Below are 22,089 nucleotides of genomic sequence, written 5' to 3' on the forward strand. Positions count from 1 at the left end.
TTGGTCTCGAAGGAGACAGAAGTATCTAATATTTACACACCAGTATTAGTCCTTTGGGAACCTTATCTTGGCTAGAACCAAGCAGGGAGGGGGGTGCTGGCTGGAGCCATCTCCCCCCATTGATACCAGCTCAGAAGGTCTTTAGTTAATGGGAACTGCTTCCTCCCTTTGGGTGAAGATACCAGGGTCCAGGCTGAGGTCCTGGGAGGTGTGGAGTCAGTGCTGAGAGTGGTTGATTGGACCAGCCTGCATGGGCCCTGGGCACTGGGCACCCCCGTGGAGTTAGTGCTCAACTGGCAGGTGGAGTCCTGGAGCTTCCGGGGCGTTATATGACTAGAGTCCCCCAAGAGTGAGGAACTTGGGGCGGGGGAGACACAGACACAGATAGGAGGCAGCTCCCAGGCGATGTCTTCAGCCTCTGGATCAAGCCATGCCTGAAGGCCTCCTGCCCCAGACACTTCATGTTCCAAGTCCACAAAAGCCCTTTTGCTCAGTCAGCTTGAGGCCCAGCTAAGACATCTTGCCTTTCCCAGGCATGAGAGTTATTTAAGCAGCAGCGGCCGCATTTGTGCAGACTTCATGGTGCCCAGTAGCCCAGTATACCCAGCCAGCAGGAATGAAGCTGCCTTAGTGGGCCCAGAGCCCGTCTCTGACTTGGCCCCTTCCCTAGGTCCCATGGGGGATAGCGGGGACCCCTCGCAGAAGGGGGCATGGGGCCCAGGAGGGATGCTCACAGCGAGGACTGTGGCACTTGCGGAGGCCCAGTCGGGCCAGCACTCTGTGGGCCTGTGCAGGCAGCAACCCCGAGGTGAGGCTGCCGTCAGCCCGTTTCAGACTGGGACCCTGAGTGGCAGTGCTGGGATGCCAGCCAGAGCTCTGGGTTCCGGGGGCGCGCCTCTCTCCAAAGGCTGCTGCCAGCGCCAGCACCAGCACCAAGACTTCTCACGGATTGTCACTCCGTGGAGCAACAGCACAGCAGGGCAGAGTCCTGGGTTCCCGCCAGGACACTGGGGGCAGGCGTCCAGCTGCTCTGGGGCAGGCCTGGTCCTGGGGCTCCCGTTGTCCAGCTGTCCCCGCAGCAGGACATTTGGGAAGGGGGTGTTCTGGTAGCCCTGAGGGCCTGGCTTGGAGTCGGGGCTGCCCCTCACAGCTGCGTGCCCAAGTGGCACAGGGTCAGGCCGCCCTGCAGTTTGGCAGGTGGGCAGGGAGATGCCCTCCACAGCCCATCGCTCCAGTTGTCCTCCATGAGGGCAGCAATGTCACAGCTGCAGAAGCTGGTGATGCGGCAGGGCCGAGAGCGATGCCAGCTGGGCGCTTCTCCATGCCTCGGTTTCCTTGTCTGTAGCAGGGATGAGAACGGCTCCTGCCTCCCAAGCTGTTGCGGGGTCCTCTGGGGTGAGGGCAAGGTTTGTGGAGCAGCATCCGCCTGGCTCCTGCTGCAGCTCCTGCGGTGTTGGTCTGCGGCGGCCTCGGCAGCTCTGCTCGGTTCTCTCCTAGTTTCGTCCACCAACTTGAGGCCAGGCCGAGCCCTTGGCTGTGTCCCTCGAAGAGACCCCTCTTCCCCTTGCCCACACCAGGGAGGGAGGCCAAGTGGCCTTTCTTTCAGAATGGGCTTGGACTTTTCCAGGGAGGCCTGGCAAAGGGTCCTGGGTTCCCGGCAGAGGTTCTCGTGGCGCCCTGTTTGCGCCAGCAGTGCACCCCCTCTCGCCCAGCCCCTGCAGGACCGGCTGGCAGTTTACAAACAGAGCAGCTTGTGGGGCGTCTGCGCTTGGCTGGCCCCGCCCCAGCTGGGTGTTCCCAGGATGGCTGGTGAGCCCAGCTGGGGGCGGAGGCGCCAGGGCCAGGCCTCCCCCGACCCCCTACCGCTCTGTCTGCAAGCCCCTTGCCATGGAGACCCCAAGCACCTTTATTATGCTGCTGATCAGCAAAACAATATGTGTTCATGCCTTTTCATTTTTGTATTTCAAAAATACCCCAATGTATGAAAAATGGCATTTTGTAAGTGCTATTTTAAGTGCAGTTTTTTTTATAACAGCCGTATTGAGATATAATTCACATATCATGCAAGCCACTGATTTAAAGTGTAGAGTTTAGTGGTTTTGAGGATATTCACAGAGTTGTGCAACCATCACCACTATCTAATTCTAGACTATTTCCACCACCCCCAAAAGAAGCCCTGCATCCTCAGCCGTCACTCCCCACCCCCAGCCCCCCTCCCTGGCAACCACCCATCTACTTCTTGTCTCCAGGCATTGGCCTGTTCTGGACATTTCATCTGTGTGGAATCACAGCATGTGGACTTCTGTGTCTGGCATCTTTCACTCGGCGCCTGGTTTCCGCAGTCATCCATGTAGCACAAGTCAAGGCTTCATTCCTTTTCATAGCTGAGTAATATTCCACTGTGTGGGTGTGCCACGTCTCGTTATCTGTTCATCCGTGGATGGATGTTTGGGCTGCTCCCACTCTGGGCTGTTATGAATCACCCGGCTGTGAGCATGCCTGTGGACGCGCGTCTCCATCCCCTCAGACATGTGCCTTGGTATGGGGTTATGGCTCTTGGGCACCTCCGTGTGTGAGTGCTCTCCGCAGAGCAGCTTCTTCCAGCTCTCAGAGGCCTTGCCCTCAGGCTGCTTTGTCCTCCCACGGATGCCCTCAAGGTGACAAAGCCTGTCCCTATGGGGAAGGACTCATGTCTGTTTTCTCCACCACCGTGTCCCAGCACCCAGCACAAATAACACAGAGTAGGTGCCCAGGAAGCGCCGGGTGAGTGGGCGGCCATATGGCCTGGCACTCGCCAGCTGGCTGAGCTGCAGCACAGTCCTGTTCTCTGTTTCCCTGGGCTCAGCAGGAAACAGGCCGGAGGTCATCCAGCGGGGGTGCGGCCAGGCCGGGGCTCGAACCCTGCTCCGCCTGACCCAGAAACCAGACAGGGCTGGAGAAGGGCAGCAGAGTGACCCTGGGCAGGGGCTGGGCCCGGGGCCTGCCTGCCTGTGGTGGTGCCTCCCGGGCCTTGCTGGGCGGTCAGACCCTGCCTGCTGGGCACGTGCCCTCTTTCACACGCAGGCCTCTGCTGCGGGGTACAGGACCCGCTTTTCTAAACGCAAGCGGCTCTTCCTCTTTCCCAGGTGATTCTGCATCAAGGGGCCTGAGTAATGCAGCAGCTGCCTGGTGGACTGGCACCCGGCTCCTGTCTGCATTAGGGGGCTGCACACAACCGCTGGGTGTGCGGAACCCCTATCCCATCCTCCAGGCAAGTAGGTCCCTGCTGTGTGCTCAGAGCCAGCCACTACCTGGCTGTCAGAGGCCACCATGCCAGGCTGCCATGAACAGGTAGGAACTGCTGTCAGCTCCATTTTAGAGATGAGGAAACGGAGGCATAGAGAGGTGAGTCACTGCCTGATCGGCACACGCTAATAGATGGCAGAGAGAGCAGTTGAACCCCAGAGTCTGACTCCGGAGACCCAGGGCTGACTCCCGCACTGTGGGATTAAACGAAGCTTGGAAATGACGGAGCTTCGTACTGAGTAGATGCTCAGTAAACATCCGCTGCCTGGGAATCTGCTCCATGTGGTCACCCGGCCTGGCTCCCGAGGGAATCTGGCGGCAGGAGGGGGCTGAGCCTGTCACTATCTCCATGCGATCACCCGGCCTGGCTCTTGAGGGAATCTGGTGGCAGGAGGGGGCTGGACCTGTCACTGTAGCTCAGTGTTACCTCCTCCATAGCACAAAGTTCTGGAATCTTCCTCCCTCCCCTTGTTGCTTAGGATGTGTACGTGCATGAAATTACTGTGGAAATCAGCCCTAGACACTTTCTGGTTTAAGGGGGACAACCCCCGGTCCCCATCTCAAATTTCCCCTGAGCCCCTTGGGCACACCCAAGCCCATCTGCAGGCGCCAGCACTCTGGGGAACCCAGTTTGAGAAGCTCAAGTCAGGGTCAGGTGTCAGGCCCAGAAGTGCCCTGAAGATCCTCCTTCGGGGGTTTGTCAGAGCAGGAAGAGGCTGGAGAGGCCCCAGCTGTGGCTTCAGGGGAGGAGGAAACTGAGGTCATGCCGGTGTGGGGACGGCACAGCAAAGCTTTGAACCCTTGAGCCTCCAACATCAGAGAACGCCACAGTTGAGTCACCCCATTCACCTGCCCCGAGTTACAGGTGCAGTCTGAGGCTGCCGGTGACAGGACGGGCCTGTCCTTGCAGGCTCTGTATACTCCAGTAAGGCACTCAGCTTCTCCGAGCCTCAGTTTGGCTGCCTGTAATGTGGGATGACCACAGGCTCGGCTCCCTTGCAGGGGCCTTCGTGGAGCTGACACATGCCCACAGGGAGGTGGAAGGGAAGTGGAAGCTGGGTGGGCTCCCTGCCCTCGGCAGCCCCTAGCCACTCCCCACAGCTTGTAAGGTGCAGCAGCCAGGCGGCTCCAGCTCATAGGCGCCCCCGCCCCCCCCCCACCCCCCCCCCCCCACCAGCAGGCTGCTTGCAGGCCCGCTGAAGATGCTGTGACGGGGAGAGCATATGGCGGGCATATGCCACGCGGGAATGAGCTGCCCACGGGAGGAGGCAGGAGGAGCAGAGAAGGCGCCAAGGCCTGCCTCGCCGCCGGCGACTCACAGCACCCGCCTGGCTTGCTGGGTGCCCCTCTGCCCCAGTCCTGCCCTGGAGTCTGCAACCCCGCTTGCTTGGGGCCTGGGCTGTGCTGGGCCTCCTGGGTGGTGGGGCACTGTGCCCGCTGCCCGCTAGGTGTCGCTGTCCCCTGCCAGATCCTGCAGAGCTGCAGCCTGTGTGGCCCTGGAAATGGGGTGGGGTCTCCAGGGGGAACAGAGCTGCTGCTGCAGCCACCTCTGCTGTCTCCACCTGGGACCCCTTTGTTCCTCTGCCTCCTCTTTCTGGAGTCCCTCCTGTAGGCTGGTTTCTGGGTGTTGCAGAGGGATTGGGAGGCCTCACCCTCCCAGGGCTCACTGTGCCAGGGTGGGCTATGGCACAGTGTGATTGATGCCACTGGTCGGAGCTCCAGGAGTCTGGGAGAACCCAGAGGAAGGACATCCCGCCCAGCCTCCTTCCTGGAAGACCTGGAGGAAGAGTTAGCCAGGGGAGAAGGAGGGTGGCAAGAGTGCTCCCGGTGGAGGGAACTGTGCGTGCAAAGGCCAGGAGGTGGGACAGGCTGGGTGCTGTGGGCTTGGAGGCTGCTCTTGGCAGTGAGAACTGTGTGTGCAAAGGCCAGGAGGTGGGACAGGCTGGGTGCTGTGGGCTCGGAGGCTGCTCTGGCAGAGGGAACTGTGTGTGCAAAGGGCAGGAGGCGGCACAGACTGGGTGCTGTGGGCTCAGAGGTGGCAAACATGTCTGGATGTCTGGAGCATCGTGTCTGGAAGGTGTGGGATGGAGCTGGAGCAAAAATAGAGGCCGAATTCCCATCTGGAGAAGGATGGGGACCCTGCCGTGTGGGGCATAGCCTCAGCACCATCCGATTGCCAGCCCGTATGGGGCACTTACCATGTGCCAGGCAGCAGCTCATCTCACCTCTCGGGATCGCCCCCAAGGGGGCATGGTTTCTACCCTGGTGTACTCTGGTGCACAGAGAGGTCAAGTGACTAGCCTGGGGTCACACAGCCCGTTGGCAGAGCCGGCACTGGAGCCCACTCCTGGGAAGCAGGAACAGGTGGTGGGACCCAGCTTTTCTCCCACAGAGCCCTGCCTGCCCCTGCCCTCAGCCCAGGTGCCTGCAGACCTGGTTCTCCTGGCTGTCTGGACTGGGACATGTGTTGACCCTGAAGAAGTTGTCCCCTAGCCTCTCCCACAGCGCCTCGCACACAGCAGGTACTCAGCACATATGCTGGTATTAGGTGACCCTTTAGCATGACCCCCCCACTCGGAGAGGTCCCCTGACCCCAGGAGGTCTGGCAATGAGCGTCATCAATTGAGACAGGTGACTCTGGGCTCTTAGCTTCTGGGGGGCCCTTGCCACCCACTGGGGAGGTCTTTTGGAAATCTCACTCCCTGTCCACACATCCTCGCGCCTCGCTCGCTCTGATCCTAAGCCCGGCCACACACCTGTGACCAGGATGACCGTGCTCCTGGGCGGCAGCACTGATTTGAAATGGGAGGGTCTTGGAAACCCAGACGTTATGGTCAGGAAACCTGAAGGGAAGGACGCAGGCAGAGGGGTCCCAGTCAGGGGCAGGAGCTGGCCTAGAGCCCACTGTTAAACCAAGACATGCTATGCCCGTTTCACACCTGCAGCAGCCGAGGCTGGAGATGTGTGCCCAGGTCCCAGTGCTGGAGGTGGAGGGGCATCCGGCCTGCTCTGCCCACCACAGTGCGCTCATAAACACTGTTCTGTGTCCCCCGGTGATCCCCAGGCTGGGGAGAAGAGGTGGTTGGGGGCAGCACCCACCTCTGCCGCGGGCGGTCTCTGCAGGGACCCGCCACCCACCGGATCCCGGTGCCGGAGCAGATGGGCCCAGAGAGGGAGGCGGCGGCGGCGGTCGCTGTTGCCAGCTTCCGGCTCCCCGAGGGGCGGGCGTGAGAGGCAGGATGGAGCGAGTGGCAGAAGCCCAGCCTGCTGTCCACACCACCCCACCCGCTCCCCAGCCCTTCCAGAGGCTTCTCCCCCGACTCCTGCTGCCTGGGAGACCCGGGAGCCCAGAGGCCAGAGCCTGGGCTTGGGAGGCCTGAAAGCCCAGCTGCCGGCCCAGCCTGACCCGCTGCCTTCTGGCTGTGTGGTCCAGGACCACTGATGATACCCCTCCCAGCCTCAGTTTCCCCATCTGTAAAGTAGGGGTGATGTCAGTGCCTACTTTTTTTTTTTTTTTTTGAGACGGAGTCTTGCTCTGTTGCCCAGGCCGGAGCGCAGTGGCATGATCTCAGTTCACTGCAACTTTTGCCTCCCGGGTTCAAGTGATTCTCCTGCCTCAGCCTCCCAAGTAGCTGGGATTACAGGCGCCCACCACCACACCCGGCTAATTTTTGTAGTTTTAGAGGGTTTCACCATGTTGGCAAGGCTGGTGTCGAACTCCTGACCTCGTGATCTGCCTGCCTTGGCCTCCCAAAGTGCTGGGATTACAGGCGTGAGCCACCGCACCCGGCCAGTCAGTGCCTACTTTTCTTTCTTTCTTTTTTTTGGAGTGCAGTGGCGTGATCTCGGCTCACTGTAGCCTCCACCTCCTGCGCTCAAGCCATCCTCCCACTTCAGCCTCCTGAACAGCTGGGACTACCAGTGTGCATGACCATGCCTGGCTCATTTTTAAATTTTTGTAGAGATGGGGTCTCACCGTGTTGTCCAGGCTGGTCTCAAACTCCTGGGCTCAAGCAGTCCTCCTACCACAGCCTCCCAAAGTGCTGGGAATACAGGCGTGAGCCACCACACCCGGCCAGTGCCTACTTCTCAATCCTGCGTGACCTCGGGCAAGTCCCTTAACCTCCGTGTGCCTCAGCTTCCCCATATGTAAGATGGGAGAATAATACTAATTTCCTCATAGTGTTGTGGGGCTGAAACAGTGCCGGTTTTTCTGGTTAAATCATGCGGTGGGGAGGGGACGCCAACAGGGTGAGTTGGAGGCTCTTCCCTCGGCAGGCAGACTCGGACAGCACCGGGGGGTGGAGGGTGGGAGCTTCAAGTGGGGAAAACAACCCAACAAACATGTGATGATAATAATATAATAATAATAATGACAACAGCCAGCACCTGTGGAGCACCCGCTATAAGGCAGACACGTCTAAGTGCTTTGCATTAATAAAAATGACAACAGTCAGCACTTAGGAGCACCCTGTATAAGGCAGACGCTTTGCATGCACTGGCTCATTCAGCCTTAGAGTAGCCTTAGGTTTGGGACTGTTCTCGTTGCCTTGGTGCAGATGGGGTAGCTGAGGTGTGATGTGGCTGAGGTGCTCACTCGGGGTCAGGGCCGCCCAGGCACGTTCCTTGGCGAAGCTCCCACTGGGCCTGATCCAGCACCTGGCCCGGCCTCCCGGCCTTGGCTTACGCTGTATTTCCATCCGGGACCCCGGATTCCACCAGCTCCTCCCCATCCCTGCCTGAACACACCCACCAGCTCAGACCCCATGTCTGTCCCCGTCACGGGGTGCTGAGCCACCCAGAGGTGTTGTCAGCCCTGGGGTCTCGTCCCTCACTCTTCTGCCCTCTGGCCTCAGGACACACTTGTGGTAAATGATAAACGTTTTACTCTCCAGCTTTGGGGCCCAGGACTGTCACCACACGTGGCCACTTATATTTCAATGAAACGCAACGCAAAATTCAGTTCCTCAGCTGCACTCACTGAATTTCAAGTGCTCACGACATGTGGCCGGTCTCCACTGCATTGAGCAACACAGATCTAGAAGGTTCTTTCTGTCACGATACTTTGTATTGGATGGTGCTGCTCTTGTTATTAGCCAAGGTGGGAGTCTTTGGGTGGGGAGGACATGGGACATAGGGAGGTTGAAGAGATGAGGGGTGGATTATACTTGCTGTATTTGTTGGAGAAGAACAACTGGAACAATGCTCTGTATTTTCATTTTTTTTGAGACAGGGTCACCCAGGCTGGAGTGCAGTGGCGCGATCTCGGCCCACTGCAACCTCCACCTCCTGGGTTCAAGCGATTCGCCTGCTTCATCCTCCCGAATAGCTGGCATTACAGGAGCCCTGCCACCACGCCTGGCTAATTTTTGTATTTTTAGTAGAGATGGGGTTTCAACCACGTCAGCCAGGCTGGTCTCGAACTCTTAACCTCAGGTGATCCTCCTGCCTCGGCCTCCCAAAGTGCTGGGATTACAGGCATGAGCCACCACGCTCAGCAATGTTCTGCATTTTCTACCATATTTCCCCAGGAGCTCATTCCCTTATATTTTATCCAACTTCAAGCCGGAGCACATAGCGCGAGGAAGGATGTTTCTTATATACTTGTAACTTGATTTACAGAAGTCTTAAAAGATAATGAAAAATGAAATCACATTTAGTCAAGCATTTTATAAACTGCCTTTATTGCAAAGGAAAAAAACTAGCCTGGGCAACATAGTGAGACCCCCGTTTCTACAAAAAACTTAAAAATTGGCAGGACGTGGTGGTGCGCACCTGTGGTCCCAGCTACTGGTGAGGCTGAGGTGAGAGAATCACTTGAGCCCAGTCCTTTGAGTGAGGCTGTAGTGAGCCGCGATGGCATCATTGCCTGGGCAATAGAGTGAGACCCTGTCTCAAAAACAAAAAAGAGAAAAGGAGAGAAGAGACTAGCTAAGATTGAGTATCTCCCTGAGTATCTGGGACGCTCTGTCATCATTCCTCCATGTCTGTTTATACATACACGTAAACTGAGGCCCCTCACCTGGAGATTCCAGGGGCCTAGGAGGGCTGGTGTGATTGGGAGCTCAGGGCCTGGACTTAGTTCCTCACTTTGCAGAGTAATCTTGGGCAGCTTGACTCACTTTGGGGGTCCTCAGTTTCCCCATCCCCAGTGCCCCCATGGGCAAAACATTCTACAGATGGGTTGGGTGAGGATCTCAATTGAGGGGCAGGGTAGAGTGTGCACCTAGAAGGCCAGCAGGCAGCAGGGGCCTCCTCACGCATCTTCAGAAGGGACAGAGTTGGGCTGAGAGTCCCCTGAAGCTCCCCCAAAACTGTAAACATGGCCCACTGGCCCATCGCACCGCTGGGAGCAGCCCAGTTCCCTTGAGGGGCTGACAAGAGGCTGGAGTCACACAGACTGAGCTTGATCTCAGCCGAGCATCTGTCCTGGCTCCGCACCCCTGGGACTCCCTTCCTGAGCCACAGTGAAAGGATGTTGAGACGAGGCCCACTGATTCCTTCGTTCTTCCACTGAACACATTCTCACCGGGTCCCCACCACGAGCTGCAGAAACAGCAGCAGGCAAACCCAGCAAAGCTCAGCCCTCTTGCATCCTGCGGCCCCGTGGCCACTGCTCCTGCCACCCCTTCCCGCCTGCCCTCCAGGTGGAGGGGGAGCTGGGTGCCAGGGCGCCTCTGCCCCCCAAGGCATCAGGAATCCCAGCGAGAGCCCCTTCTCCGCCTGTGGGAGGAGGAGGGAGAGGGTTGTCAAAGCGGTCGGGCCTGGAGGGGTTCCCAGATGTCCTTCCCGCCTGGTCAGTGACCGCCCAGCGGGGTCACCATGCACTCCTCCAGGAGGGACACGCTTGTCATGTTGGCGCTTGTCAGGCCCGCGAAGGGAGCTGTGGCGGTTTAGCCTCTGCCCCTTGTGGTCCCCGTGCCCCAGCCTGACCTCGCCCTCTCCCCGTTGTTCTGCCCATTGTTCTGCCAACCTCCCCCCGCCAGCTGCCCTGCCGCGTGGTTGCTATGGCAATCGCTCAGCTGTCAGGGGCCCACTGCTCCCCCTTCTTCTCTGGGGGCTGAGCTTCTGGGAGGCTTCTTCTGGGAGGCCCCCAGGAGCTGCCAGGCTGGGGAGAAGTTCCCCAGAGGCCCCTCTTGGTCCTGGAGAGAGGAGGGGGCCTTGACCTCTGCCCGGGCAGGATAGGGGCTCAGTGCAAGGGAGGAGGAGGGTTCTGCAGGGGCCACCGCGTCTGTGGAAGGGAGAAGTAACATCATGTCACCAGGGGCGGGGGCTCGTGCCCCTGGTCTCCAAGGAACCCCGGTTGCCTCCCGGCTGCCCATCCGCACGGCCCCACTATGTGCAGCCCCCGTCCTGCCCTGTGCTCCACCCTGGCCCACCCTGTGCTCCACCCTGGCCCACCCTGTGCTCCACCCTGGCCCACCCTGTGCTCGCCCCTTCCCTCCGTGCTCCACCCCTCCTGCCATGGGCTCCAGGCACCTGAAGACTTGTTTTTTGTGTAAAGAGGCCAAGGATCCACAAACAGCCAGACAGGGGATCTCAGAATAAAGACCGAAGTCACAGCTGTCCTGCGGGGTGTGGGCTGGAGGCCCTCACGGCCGGCTTGTTTTGCCCCAGGGCAGCCAGGGCACAGAGAGGGTGGGCAGCTGCACAGAGCTGCCCAGGGCTAGTGGGAGGAGCTGCTTGTCCTGCTGCTGGGGTTTTGTCCCCTGTGGAAGCATCAGTGCCAGATGGGGGCCACACAGGTGGCAGAGGAGAGGGGAATTGAGAGCAGTAACAGTCCCGAGGGCAGGGCTGTGCCCCTGCCCGTGTGCCCACCACCTGCTCTCTGCTTCCCTGTTGCTCCTGCACTGTACTGGGACCCCCCACCCCTGCACGACATCCTGCAGTGATGGGCGCATGGGGCATGGCACTGAGGGCTCAGGGAGTCCATGGGTGGCCTCCGTGCCAGCATCCAGATGGGGGCTGAGGACATCTGTTGACCTACCCCAGCCCAGCTGCAGGGAGAAAGGGCTGGATGGTGACCACTCAAGCACACAGAGGCGGGGCCCGACACAGCTTCCTGGAGGAGGAGGCCTACCGCAAGGCTCAGGGCTCCATCTGGCCAGCACTTACCAGAAAGGGACGGAGATGAGGCAGTGGAGGAGGGGGCTGGTGTCCCCGTGTGAGCCCCACAGGACATAGGGGGCCCTGCGGGGCATGGGCAGCCCCCCCGCAGCAGTGCTGGTCATCTTTGGTGGCGCTTCCAGACTGGGGCTCACGGCAGCCCACTGCCCTCCCATGGTACCTGGACACCTGACAGTCTAGTTGCCTCTGGTCTTGGGTCACACCACGGCTTTAATTTCAGTGACCTTGACTCTTGTCAGGTGAAACATTTCTTTTTTATTTTTCCTTTTTCTTTTTCTTTTCTTTTTTTTTTTTTTTTTTTTTTGAGATGGAGTCTCGTTCTGTTGCCCAGGCTGGAGTGCTGTGGTGCTATCTTGGCTCACTGCAATTCTACCTCCTGGGTTCAAGTGATTCTCCTGCTTCAGCGTCCCAAGTCGCTGGGATTACAGGTGCCCGCAACCACACCTGGCTAATTTTTGTATTTTTAATAGAGACGGGGCTTCACTATGTTGGCCAGGCTAGTCTCGAACTGCTGACCTCAGGTGATCCACCTGCCTCGGCCTCCCAAAGTGCTGGGATTATAGGCATGAGCCACCGCACCCAGCCAGGTCAAACATTTCAACTCAGCGACTACTCTGGTAGGAGCTGTTCCCAGGGCAATGGGGGCTACGCCACAGGGCCCTTTCTGGCCCCCCGTGCTCCCTACTCCAGGGAGCTGCTGTTCCCCTGCCCATGTGCCCACCATCTACTCTCTGCTTCCCTGTTGCCCCTGCACTGTACTGGGAGCCCCCACCCCTGCATGACATCTGCAGTGATGAGCGCATGGGGCGTGGCACTGAGGGCTCAGGGAGTCCATGGGTGGCCTCTGTGCCAGCATCCAGATGGGGGCTAAGGACATCTGTTGACCTACCCTGGCCTAGCTGCAGGGAGAAAGCGAATGTGTTTGGAAAGGCCCGGCCTGGCATCTTGGGAGGGGGCATTCAGCCTGGGGGTGCTCAGTTCCACCATGGCTTGGCCCTGATGGGTCCTGGCCTCTCTCGGGTGCTCTGGTCACCAGGCCTCACCCAGTGCTCTAAGTGATCAGCCCTTACCACCCCCGCCTGGAGGGCCAAGGCTGCCCAGGGTCTGGGCCATTTCTTCTGCCCTGGGCTGCCGCATCCCAGCTCGCATTCTTGCCAGAGCTTTCCAAACACATGCTCAAGACTACACCTTCGCTTTGGCCCTAACCATACCCAGTGTCGTGTGCTTGCCTGTCATACCTACCCTTGGGGGCAGGAGGCCTGGTGCCCCCACTCACTCAGTGTATGACTCTGCCTCGGTGCCTCAGTGTTCCATCTGTACAGTGAGCAGTTGCTGACTCAGTGAATTTCACGCAGTTTTGAGCTGTGCCTGACTTCTGGCAAGGGCTCAGCCAGGTAGGCACTTGGCATGTTTCCCCTTATCCCGCAGAGGAGGAGGGCGCAGAGTGGGTAGGCACATCTCCGAGGCAGTCCAGCTGGTTCTGACTGACAGGAGGCACATCCACGGGGGCCTCGTGGGAGAGGCCAGGACAGGCTCAGAGTGGAGGGCTGCCCCGTGTGGTAGAGGGGACTTGGCGGCCAGCAGGAGAGGGCTGGGCATTGATGGGTTCCCGACCATCTTGAGGCCACTGACTTTCGGCAGTGTCCACAGGGCCCAGCAGATGCTTTCGGACAGATCATCCCACGGTGGATGGCTGTTCAGGTGCACGCTAAGCACTTTGTATGCCAGAGCCGCCATCGTCCCCAGTCTACAGACAAGGAAGCTGAGGGGGTTGAGAATGTGCCTGTGTTTCTGCAGCTGGGCAGCAGTGGGGCGTATCAGCACCTGTGATTTGGTGCCCGCTTTGGCTGTCCCTGGGGGGCTAAACCCTCGTGTGTATCCTGAGATATGTGTATTTTCTCATAGGCTCTCCCCCATGCCTTATGTCGGGATGTTTGTCTCCCCCACTTTACAGATGGGCAGACTGAGGCCGAGCAGGTGAGGTGACTTGCCCCAGGTCACACAGGTTGCAAAGGACAGAGCCTGTTTTGAATCCAGAGCCCAGACTCTTAACCACTTCACTGGCATCTCCCCGGCGGGTGCTTGGAATGCCCCAAACAAGAAGCCTGCTCTTCAAGAATGACTTCTTTCTGAAAACTGACGATGACAAATTATTTATTTAATGGTTTTAATTTATCCCCCTTTCCTCAGAGAGTGTCAGAGGCAATCTGCTTCCTTCTGCCTCTCAGAGCCTCCCCGTCTCTTGTTAGTGGTTCTGCTTTGAACATATTTCCTTTTATCATGTGGTGACACGCGGTGGCAGAGGGCGATTCTGGGAGAGATTGTCGGGGAGGGGGCCAGCTAGAGTTTGCATCGCTTTTGACAGCTAATTAGCTGTGTGTCTTTGCACCGGGGGGCCTCTCAGATGGCAGGCATCATCGTCACGGCCCTGAAGCCGCATGCCGGGACTTCAGAGGAAGCATGCCTTGGCCTCCCTCCTCCAGCCCCACATCGGTGATTTCTAGGGTAACGGTTTCCATTTTGGCCATGCCATTAGACTGTGGGCTTGTCAGCAGGAGAAGGACGCAAGGCCAGAACGCCTGATCCCTAGAGCCTGAATTTGCCAACAGATCACAGGGTTCTGGATTTAGCAATCAGACCAGAGTGGGAGTCCGAGACTCCATGTGTGACCTTGCACAAGTTCTGATCCTCCCCACAGCCCAGTTTCCTCATCCGAAATTGGGTATGGGAGTGATGCTTGCTCCGTCTCTCACAAGCTTGCCGCGGGCACCAGTTGGAAAATGTGTTGCAATGGGAGCTGAAAAGAACTCGGCGAGCCTCTGGGTTCCTCCATTCTGCAATTCAGTGTTAATTGACTACCGACTGTATGCCAGGCCCCGTTCTAGGCTCAGAGGATAGAGCAGTGGACAAAGTGGACAGAGATCCCTGCCCTTAGGGAGCTGAGCTTCTAGCAGGGAAGGAGACAGTACAGGAATAGATAAATAACACACGGATCCCACAGATCGCGGGAGGGCGGGGGCCGGGCTCGCTTACAGCACTCCTGACAGCTAATTAGCGACGCGTAGTGATTAGAGGCTTCCAGAAGAAGGAAGCTCACGCTTGGAGAGTGCGGGAGGGAAGAGGGTTGTAGCTTCAAAGAGTGTGGTCAGAATAGGCCTCCCTGAGATCATCATCATCATGATGTTAGCATCATGCTTGTTTAGCAAAGATCATCAAACCTTTTTTTTTTGGCTTGTTAGAAATACACAGCCTATTAATTTACAATTTTTAGGGCAGGGATTGTGACGCTGGAGTGTGCATCAGAGGCCCCCAGAGAGCCGGGGAATCAGGCTGCTGGCAGTACTGGGAGTTTCTCACTCAGAATCTGCGTCTCTAACAAGTTTCCAGTTGGTATTTGCGCTGCTGGCCCGGTGGCTGCAGTTTGAGAATCCCTGGTCTAGGCCCAAATGGACTTGGCTCTTGCATTAAAGCTTGAATTTCTTCTACCTCGGGGGCACCTAGGGTCAGCTCACACCAGATGAAATGGCCACTTTTTCTTTCCTTTTTTTTTTTTGAAATGGAGTCTCAGTTTGTCGCCCAGGCTGGAGTGCAATGGAGTGATTTTGGCTCACTGCAACCTCTGCCTCCAGGGTTGAAGCGATTCTCCCGCCTCAGCCTCCCAAGTAGCTGGGATTACAGGTGTGGGACACCACACCCAGCTAATTTTTGTATTTCTAGTAGAGACAGGGTTTCACCATGTTGACCAGGCTGGTCTGGAACTCCTGAGCTCAGGTCATCTGCCTTCCTCGGCCTCCCAAAGTGCTGGGATTCCAGGCATAAGCTGCCACGCCTGGCCACTTTTTCTATTTTGTATTCGTCATTCCAGGTCTCCTCTGCCGTCCTGGCCTCACAGAGCTGCTGGTCGGCAGGGTGGACAGACAGAGCTTAGTCAACAGCGGGCCCTCCAGCCTGGGGCCGGGGAGGGCTTCTAGGAGGCAGGGACCTCTCTCCCCCAGTGAGGGCTCCACAGACCCTTAGCACTACCAGATACAGAAGGCGGGGAATGGTATTCCAAGTGGTAGGGCGCCTTGCAAGGAGGTTAGCAGTTAGGGATTATGGGGCACAACCTGTTGTGGGAGGGTGGGGGGCAGCTGGAGCTTGGAGTGGGCCCCTCTCAGAGGGCCTGAGGTTTCATGTTGGGGTAGAGGGGCCCTTGACCCGTGGGGTGGAATATCACGTCCCTGGTGTGGAATGTGGTATCTGTCCCACATCCCTAGCTTAATAGCACAAGGAGGGAGACCCTGCGGAGGACCCCGTCTCAGATGGGCTTGGGGGACCGGGTGAGGTAGAGGGGAGCCCTGGCCTCACGCTGGGCAGGCTGTTGTGGGGGTTCCACGCCTCAACTCCGGGGAGCCCCTGAGGTTTCCGGGCCCAGTCTTGATTTCACATTGATTCCCCCAGCATCACCGCCTCCCTCCTCGGCCGACTCTCCTCTGCACCTGCCACTCGCTGAAGACCTGGAACTGAGGTCTAAGAATCAACAGCAGAGGACCCCCAGGGACGAGAGGAAGGGGCCAGGGCCGGGGGTGGCTGCTCGGACTCTGAGCTCGCATGAGATCCCCCTGTGGACGGCGTCGGGTGGGCAGTCCCTGGTGCTTGTCGCAGCTCAAGCCCTCTCTCCCTGCTCGACTTCCCAGCTGCTGGTGTCCCAGTGTGTGTAGAGTCAGGAAAACGATGTGAAATTGGCCCGTCCCCTGTGGAGACCCCTGGTGTCAGGTGTGTGTAGAGTGTGGGTAACCAGGACCGGGAGGGGTGAGGGGGTTGGGCTGAGTCCTCGCATTTGGAGATCAGACGCCCTGGGTCCTTACAGGGGTTCCCCTACTTCCAAGCTGTGTGAGGCCAGGCAGGTGACTTGGCCTCTCCGTGCCTCAGTTTTCTCCTCTGAGAAATGGGACAGTCACATCACGACAGCCTGAGAGAGCTGCGGTGAAGAGTAAACGAGCAGGCACCACTGTGACACCCGGAGCAGCGTCTGGCATGTTGTAAGTACGCAGTAAACGCGCACTCTTATCACTGCAATGGCGGGGGCCGCTTCCCTGCATTGGTGAGTTGGGAGAGTTGCAAGGGGGAATATAATTTTGTTATTCTTAAGGGCAAACAAGTAGCAGAATTAGAATGAGGGCCTGCGGGTAAAGGCCTGGAGTGTGGACAGGACGCTGAGACCAGCCTGTTTGCAAAGGGAGAGCTTGTCACCAATCCTGACTGCCTGCCTGCAAGCCAGTTTCATAAACGGAACAGAAAGGAGTTGGCGGCCACCTCCGCTGGGTGGAGGCAGACATGACTGCTGCTAAGGAAGGCTGATTGCTCAGAGTTGCTGTCCTCCCCCTGTTGAGTCTCGACCGCCCCAGACCCGCGCTAATGCACCCTGTGGACCTCACTGCTGACATCGTTGCCCCAGTTCAGGCCAATTCCTGGCCTTTTCTAGAATATGTCCGGACTATATCTCATAACTGGGCAGACCCCTCCTTTGTCCCCTGGTCAAACTCCTCATCTCGGGCATAACCTCCTTCAGGAAGCCTTCCCTGATTGCCTCCAAATCAGCTGACTCCAGAGGCTGATGCCTACCCTGCTATTGCTGGGAGCAGGCACTGAAAGACCATGTGTTTGGGGCAGGTTCTGGTTTTCATGAGGGAGGAATGTTTTGATCAGGCCATTGGGGGGCTCTCTGCTGTGCTCAGGACCTGGGGTGCCCGAACATCCCATGCATCGCCGGGGTCCAGGCTTGTGTGACGTAGATGATTGAATTTTCCTGATGAGCAGCCCAGGGCCAGGGCAGGTGAGGTCCCAGGTCCACGGTCACAGGGCTGGGTGAGCCTGGGTCTCTGCAGTCTCTGGCCTTGACATTTTCTGGGTCCGCTGTGCCTGGTTCTGCCCGAGAATGTTTGCTGTAGTCCCTGTAAGAGTGGCTGGGTGGCCTGCGGGTCCTTGGACAGACAAAGTGGAATGATGGATTTCAGGCCGCGGCGCTGGGCTCTGGAGTGAGGAAGGGAATCGCTCATGCTGTCATGGGAAGGCCGTTCCAAGGAGCCCGAGGCTCCCCAGGGAGGTGGGGGAGCGCCCCACCCCACCCATCTGACAGGGGCCTCCCTCCCCAGGAAGGGCAAACTTGTCCCTGTTTCTGGGCACCTTGGGGGCCGTAGTGCCCCCTTCCAGCTCCGGGCGAGACTGCTGGGCATGCGTCCTCTCTCTCTAGGAAAACTCTAGCAATGAGCGAGCTTGATTGCTCAGTTAGAGAAACTGAGGCCCGAGGAGTGAATTCCCTCCCTGCTTCTGTTGAGCCAAATTGGAGATTGCCAATGGCAAGCATTCCAGAAGCATCCCGAGGCCTCCCTCTAACTGGACAGGGATGGCACCGTCTGCCAGGCAGGGAGCAGGGCTGGCACCGAGGGTCTCCGGCACAAGGACCTGTTTCTTCCCAACTTTGAGGTAGCTTCTGTTGTGCCCACTTCACAGAGGGCAAGGCTGAGGCTGATGGGTCTCCAACACTGCCTGTCACCCAGCAGACAAGGGATGGATCTGGTGCAGAGCTGAGCTGTGGGCCTCCTAGATGCCCCTTCCTAGTCCTTTTACCCCCTACCTCTCCAGGGAGGGAAGGGGTGGTTTGGGGCCTGCCAGAAAAGGTGAGGGCAGCATGAAGGAGGGGTGGCTGTTTGCTGGGGGTATGCTGGGGCTGGGAGGGGTGGGCAGAGACAGGGCTCTAGTGGACTCTTGCAGGTACTGATCTTATGTGACCTGTGTGTTGAGGCCTGAGAGGCTGAGGACTGGAGCCACACAACCAGCTGGTGGGGAGTGGAAACCGACCTCCACGTCCTGTGCTCCTGCCCTCTCCCCCTTGGTCCCCCATTTCTGGACATCTGGTGCCTGCTCAGCGCGGGGACAGGAGGGAGCCTGCAGGGGGATGGCTCTGCTCTCAGCCACAGGCCCTTGGGCTCCGAGACGGCTGGCTCCTTCCTGCCCGGGAGGCTGGGCCTCTAGAGCAGGGGATGCGTCTCCCGCTCAGCTAATTATGTGGAAAATTGGAAGAAATTGCACGAGCCTTGGTGGGAAATGAGGTCAGGGCTGAAGGCTATCGGAGCAGCGGCGGTGGCTGCCTGGGCTGGCCTCCCCTGAGACTCCCGCCCCTCGCCTGAGGCCGAGCCACATCCTCGGCCCCCTCCCCATCGGGGTGCCCAGGAAGTGGGGGTGGCAGTGGATAGCTAACCTCCCCTGCCCCTGGCATATTTTCCGAAACCATAAAAACCCAGAAGCAAAGTGGACCAGCTTTTCCACCCCTGCCTTGTCCCTGCCTTCCTGAGTCTCCTCTTTTCTCCATCACCCCCTCGGTGACTTCCCAAGGATACCTGGCATGGAGGGGCTGGCAGGAAGGAAAGGAGGGCAGTGACCGTGGGGGGTGGGGGAATGGGGAGGTGCCTATGTGCGCACGCATGTACAGGTGGGTTAAAGGACAGTCACGTCACGCTCCTTAGCCACCCCCTGCGAGCTTGCATCTAGCTGCTCTCCCCCAGCACCTGCTGCAACAAGTATTTTATTGAGCACCTGCTATGTGCCAGGGATTGACCTGCCCTTGTTCCCAGCTATACTCACTTTTCTTCATTCTCTTGAACACATCCAAGCTTTCCCTGACCCCTGGGTTGTTTCCTTTGCTCAGACAACTCCTATTCATCCTTCAAAACCCACTGCAGGCAAACCCTCCTCAAACAACCAGGGCACTGTATCGATATGCTCTTACTGTATAGGAGGCAGCATAGTGTCGTGGTTAAACATGAGCCATGGAACCAGATGCCAGATTCAAACCCCAGCTCTGCCACAGACTAACCGTCGGCCCCAGCTAAGTGGCCTCTCTGAACCTCAGTTTCTTCATCTGGGAGATGGGGCTAATAGCAGTGCCCACTTCAGAGGGTTGTGGCCAGGATTAACTTAGTGATACTTGTCAAGAGCTCAAGTCACTGCCTGGCACTGCCCAGAGGCTGCCAGGCTTTGTCACGGTTGGTAAGGAGGTGGGGTTCACTATGCCCACTGCTGAGCGGTCTGCTGTGATGCCTCTGTATTTCGTGACACAGTGCTGTCTATCCTGCTGCCTTGGGGGGATTGCTTGGGGCCCAGGGAAGGGGCCACAGCTCGTCTACTCTCTGAGGCCCTGGTACTGGCACAAGGTGTGGCACAAGGGTTCTATAGGCCGCTGGTGCAGAAGCATAATTTCACACACAGCATCGCACAGCTGTACTCCCCCCGCAGTCCTCCTCCTGATAATGATAATGGTCACAGTACAAACACTGCCAGGTCCCCACTGAGTGACCGCGCCGAGCCCCCCAGTGATCCCCTCTGCATCGTGCACTCAGGTCACTCCCCTTCCCCGTCTGGCCCCTGCCCCAGGTGTGGGTCCTAGTTTGCTATCACTCTTCTATGAGTGGGGAGGGGGGTTGCCAGTCAGGGGTGCTGGCTTTGGGCTGCGAGCCATGTAGACCAAAAGGCACCTTCATCCTCGTTCAGGTGTCTGATTAAACCCTGTCTGGCCATAAGGACAGGTGTGAGGCCTGTGAGGCTGGCCTGGGGCACTGCTGCTGCCATGATCCCGGCGTGTAGCTGCCCCTGGAGCCCCCCAAGGGCCTGGACAATTCACCTGCCAGCACAGCCTCAGCAGGAGGGGTGCAGCTGTCCAGACACCCTCTGCCTTCCTCGGGGGGCATTGGTTCCCTCTGTGCCCAGCCTCCTGGGTAAGAACCTGTGAGCCACCACCTTCCAGGTGGACTTTGGGACCCCCGTGCTCTCTCCACACTCAAAGCTGCTCAGACACAGGCCCTGAAGGATGGGACCCATTTCTACTTGAGGGGGGACCAGGGGGCTAGGCTTGCCCCTGCCTTCTAACAGGTTCTGATTTTAATGACAGGGGAGGGGGAGGCTGCAGAAAATGCCAGGAGGGAGGAAAGGATGGATCTGTGATGTCTTCTGAGTCAAGGGCTTCCTGGACAGTGACCCTGGGGTGGGCATGCCCTGCATTTTACAGATGGACAAACCGAGCATCAATGCCATTCAGAAACTTGCCCGAGGCCACTCAAGAACCATACTGTTTTTTTCTTTTATTACCATGCCATCTAATATGGAGAGATGAAAATAAATGAGCCACCCCCACCTCCAATTTACTCCTTTGATTGACGGGAGGTGGCCTCCTGAGGGCTGCCAGGCCCTTCCTGGGGGAGCATCCCACGTCCTTCCCCTGTGTCCCAAGATGGTGAGATGACCTCCCCAGCAGCATCAGAGGCAGGCTGGGAGGCGAGCGTAATTGACTTGTAACATACAGACCGTGGCAGGCTGTCATCTGCGTCAGCGCAGGGTGGGAATACGCCTGTTAGCATGAGTGTGTGGGTGTGTGAGTGTGTGTGTGTGTGTGTGTGAGTGTTCTCACCCTTGTGTTCTACGGAGGTAACAAAACACTCTTTCCTGTTAGGGAAATTCTTACAAACACAGTGCAAATGGCCTGTGGGGCTGGGGACCCAGGACAGAACAGGAGACTCCTGACTCCCCGGTGCTGCCTCCCGTGCTCTGCATGCCCGGCCCCTCCCCTGGCCCCCGAAGCCCCTCTGTCCAGCCTTCAGTGCCCACCTTGAAGCCCAAGCCATGGGGAAGGGGCTCCCAGTGTCCCCAAAGAGGAGCTGCACCAGACGCCCTTGCACCTGGCACTCTGCAGCAGGTCTGCTGGGGTCTCTGGGCTCCTCCCCTGGGGCAGCACCAGGCCCTGTCGAGAGAGGTGGCACCGTAGGTGGGATGCCTGTGCCCTACACACACGCCATGTTGATGACCAAGCAGCACCCGAGGCAGCGCCGACATGTAGCTGCGTTCTGTGGACGCTTTGGAGGGCTTTTGTGGTTTGCATAGTGAGCCCGTGTTGCAGGTTTGAAGACTGAGGCTGAGAGAAGGTGAGTGATGTGCCTGAGGCCACACTGTTGGTAGCTAGGATTCAAATCCAAGTCTGCTGGACTCCACCCCATGCTCCTCCTTCCATGCGGCTATGTTACCTTCTGCTGTGGAGCCTAGCGTGGCTTCACTCCTCTGGGGTCACACTGGCCAGAAGGGACTGGACAGACGCTCAGTGGTAACCTCCCCGGGCCATCGGCTTCCTGAGCAGATCCTGGGGCTCCCACCTGCCACAGCACAACTCTGCGGTCTCTGGGGACAAAACAGAACCACCCAGGCTCCCAGCACATGCCTCTCTGTTGAGGCCCAGGTGATGATCCCAGTGACCTGCTGCTCTCCCTGTCTGATGGATAGAGAGAGTCTCCTTCTTGGTGTCCTTCTTCTCCTGGACATTTGTCCCAGCGACATCCAAGGCTCCACTCCGTCTGCTTGGGTGACTCTCCGAGGACACAGCCCCTGTAGACATTCGGCACAGCAAGCCTGGGATGCTTCGGTAGCCAGAGGTAGATTTTTCCATTTGCATCCTCTTTTCCAGTGTTTTCAGAATCTGGAAACAATTAAAGCAGCCCAGTGGGGGCCGATTTTATTAAATCAAAGCTCTCGGGCTGTTGTATTTGTTGGATTGATGTTGCCCTGGGCTGGCTGCTTTGTTAATGCTCTGTCCTGCGTGCGGCCTTGAAGGAAACACACACGAGAGGGAGGAAAAATCCATTTAATAATCCTCAG

At 58.2% G+C, this 22,089-nt stretch overlaps 1 protein-coding gene across 4 annotated transcripts in view, besides 5 other annotated features; it reads left to right on the plus strand.

Annotated features, from left to right (window-relative positions):
* Nucleotides 1-22,089, plus strand: part of GSE1 (Gse1 coiled-coil protein) — a 506,689-nt gene that overhangs the window by 79,114 nt on the left and 405,486 nt on the right. The window lies entirely within an intron of this gene.
* Nucleotides 9,821-10,525: an enhancer, noted in NCBI's record as "H3K4me1 hESC enhancer chr16:85292052-85292756 (GRCh37/hg19 assembly coordinates)". NCBI's record gives its function as "activates a minimal SCP1, AML or CMV promoter by ChIP-STARR-seq in primed H9 embryonic stem cells {active_cell/tissue: H9 hESC(primed)}" and the evidence as "EXISTENCE:reporter gene assay evidence [ECO:0000049][PMID:30033119]".
* Nucleotides 10,526-11,229: an enhancer, noted in NCBI's record as "H3K4me1 hESC enhancer chr16:85292757-85293460 (GRCh37/hg19 assembly coordinates)". NCBI's record gives its function as "activates a minimal SCP1, AML or CMV promoter by ChIP-STARR-seq in naive and primed H9 embryonic stem cells {active_cell/tissue: H9 hESC(naive and primed)}" and the evidence as "EXISTENCE:reporter gene assay evidence [ECO:0000049][PMID:30033119]".
* Nucleotides 11,230-11,934: an enhancer, noted in NCBI's record as "H3K4me1 hESC enhancer chr16:85293461-85294165 (GRCh37/hg19 assembly coordinates)". NCBI's record gives its function as "activates a minimal SCP1, AML or CMV promoter by ChIP-STARR-seq in naive H9 embryonic stem cells {active_cell/tissue: H9 hESC(naive)}" and the evidence as "EXISTENCE:reporter gene assay evidence [ECO:0000049][PMID:30033119]".
* Nucleotides 17,928-18,475: an enhancer, noted in NCBI's record as "H3K4me1 hESC enhancer chr16:85300159-85300706 (GRCh37/hg19 assembly coordinates)". NCBI's record gives its function as "activates a minimal SCP1, AML or CMV promoter by ChIP-STARR-seq in naive H9 embryonic stem cells {active_cell/tissue: H9 hESC(naive)}" and the evidence as "EXISTENCE:reporter gene assay evidence [ECO:0000049][PMID:30033119]".
* Nucleotides 21,319-22,021: an enhancer, noted in NCBI's record as "H3K4me1 hESC enhancer chr16:85303550-85304252 (GRCh37/hg19 assembly coordinates)". NCBI's record gives its function as "activates a minimal SCP1, AML or CMV promoter by ChIP-STARR-seq in primed H9 embryonic stem cells {active_cell/tissue: H9 hESC(primed)}" and the evidence as "EXISTENCE:reporter gene assay evidence [ECO:0000049][PMID:30033119]".

Source organism: Homo sapiens, chromosome 16, assembly GCF_000001405.40.
Source record: "Homo sapiens chromosome 16, GRCh38.p14 Primary Assembly".
NCBI classification, from domain to species: Eukaryota; Metazoa; Chordata; class Mammalia; order Primates; family Hominidae; genus Homo; species Homo sapiens.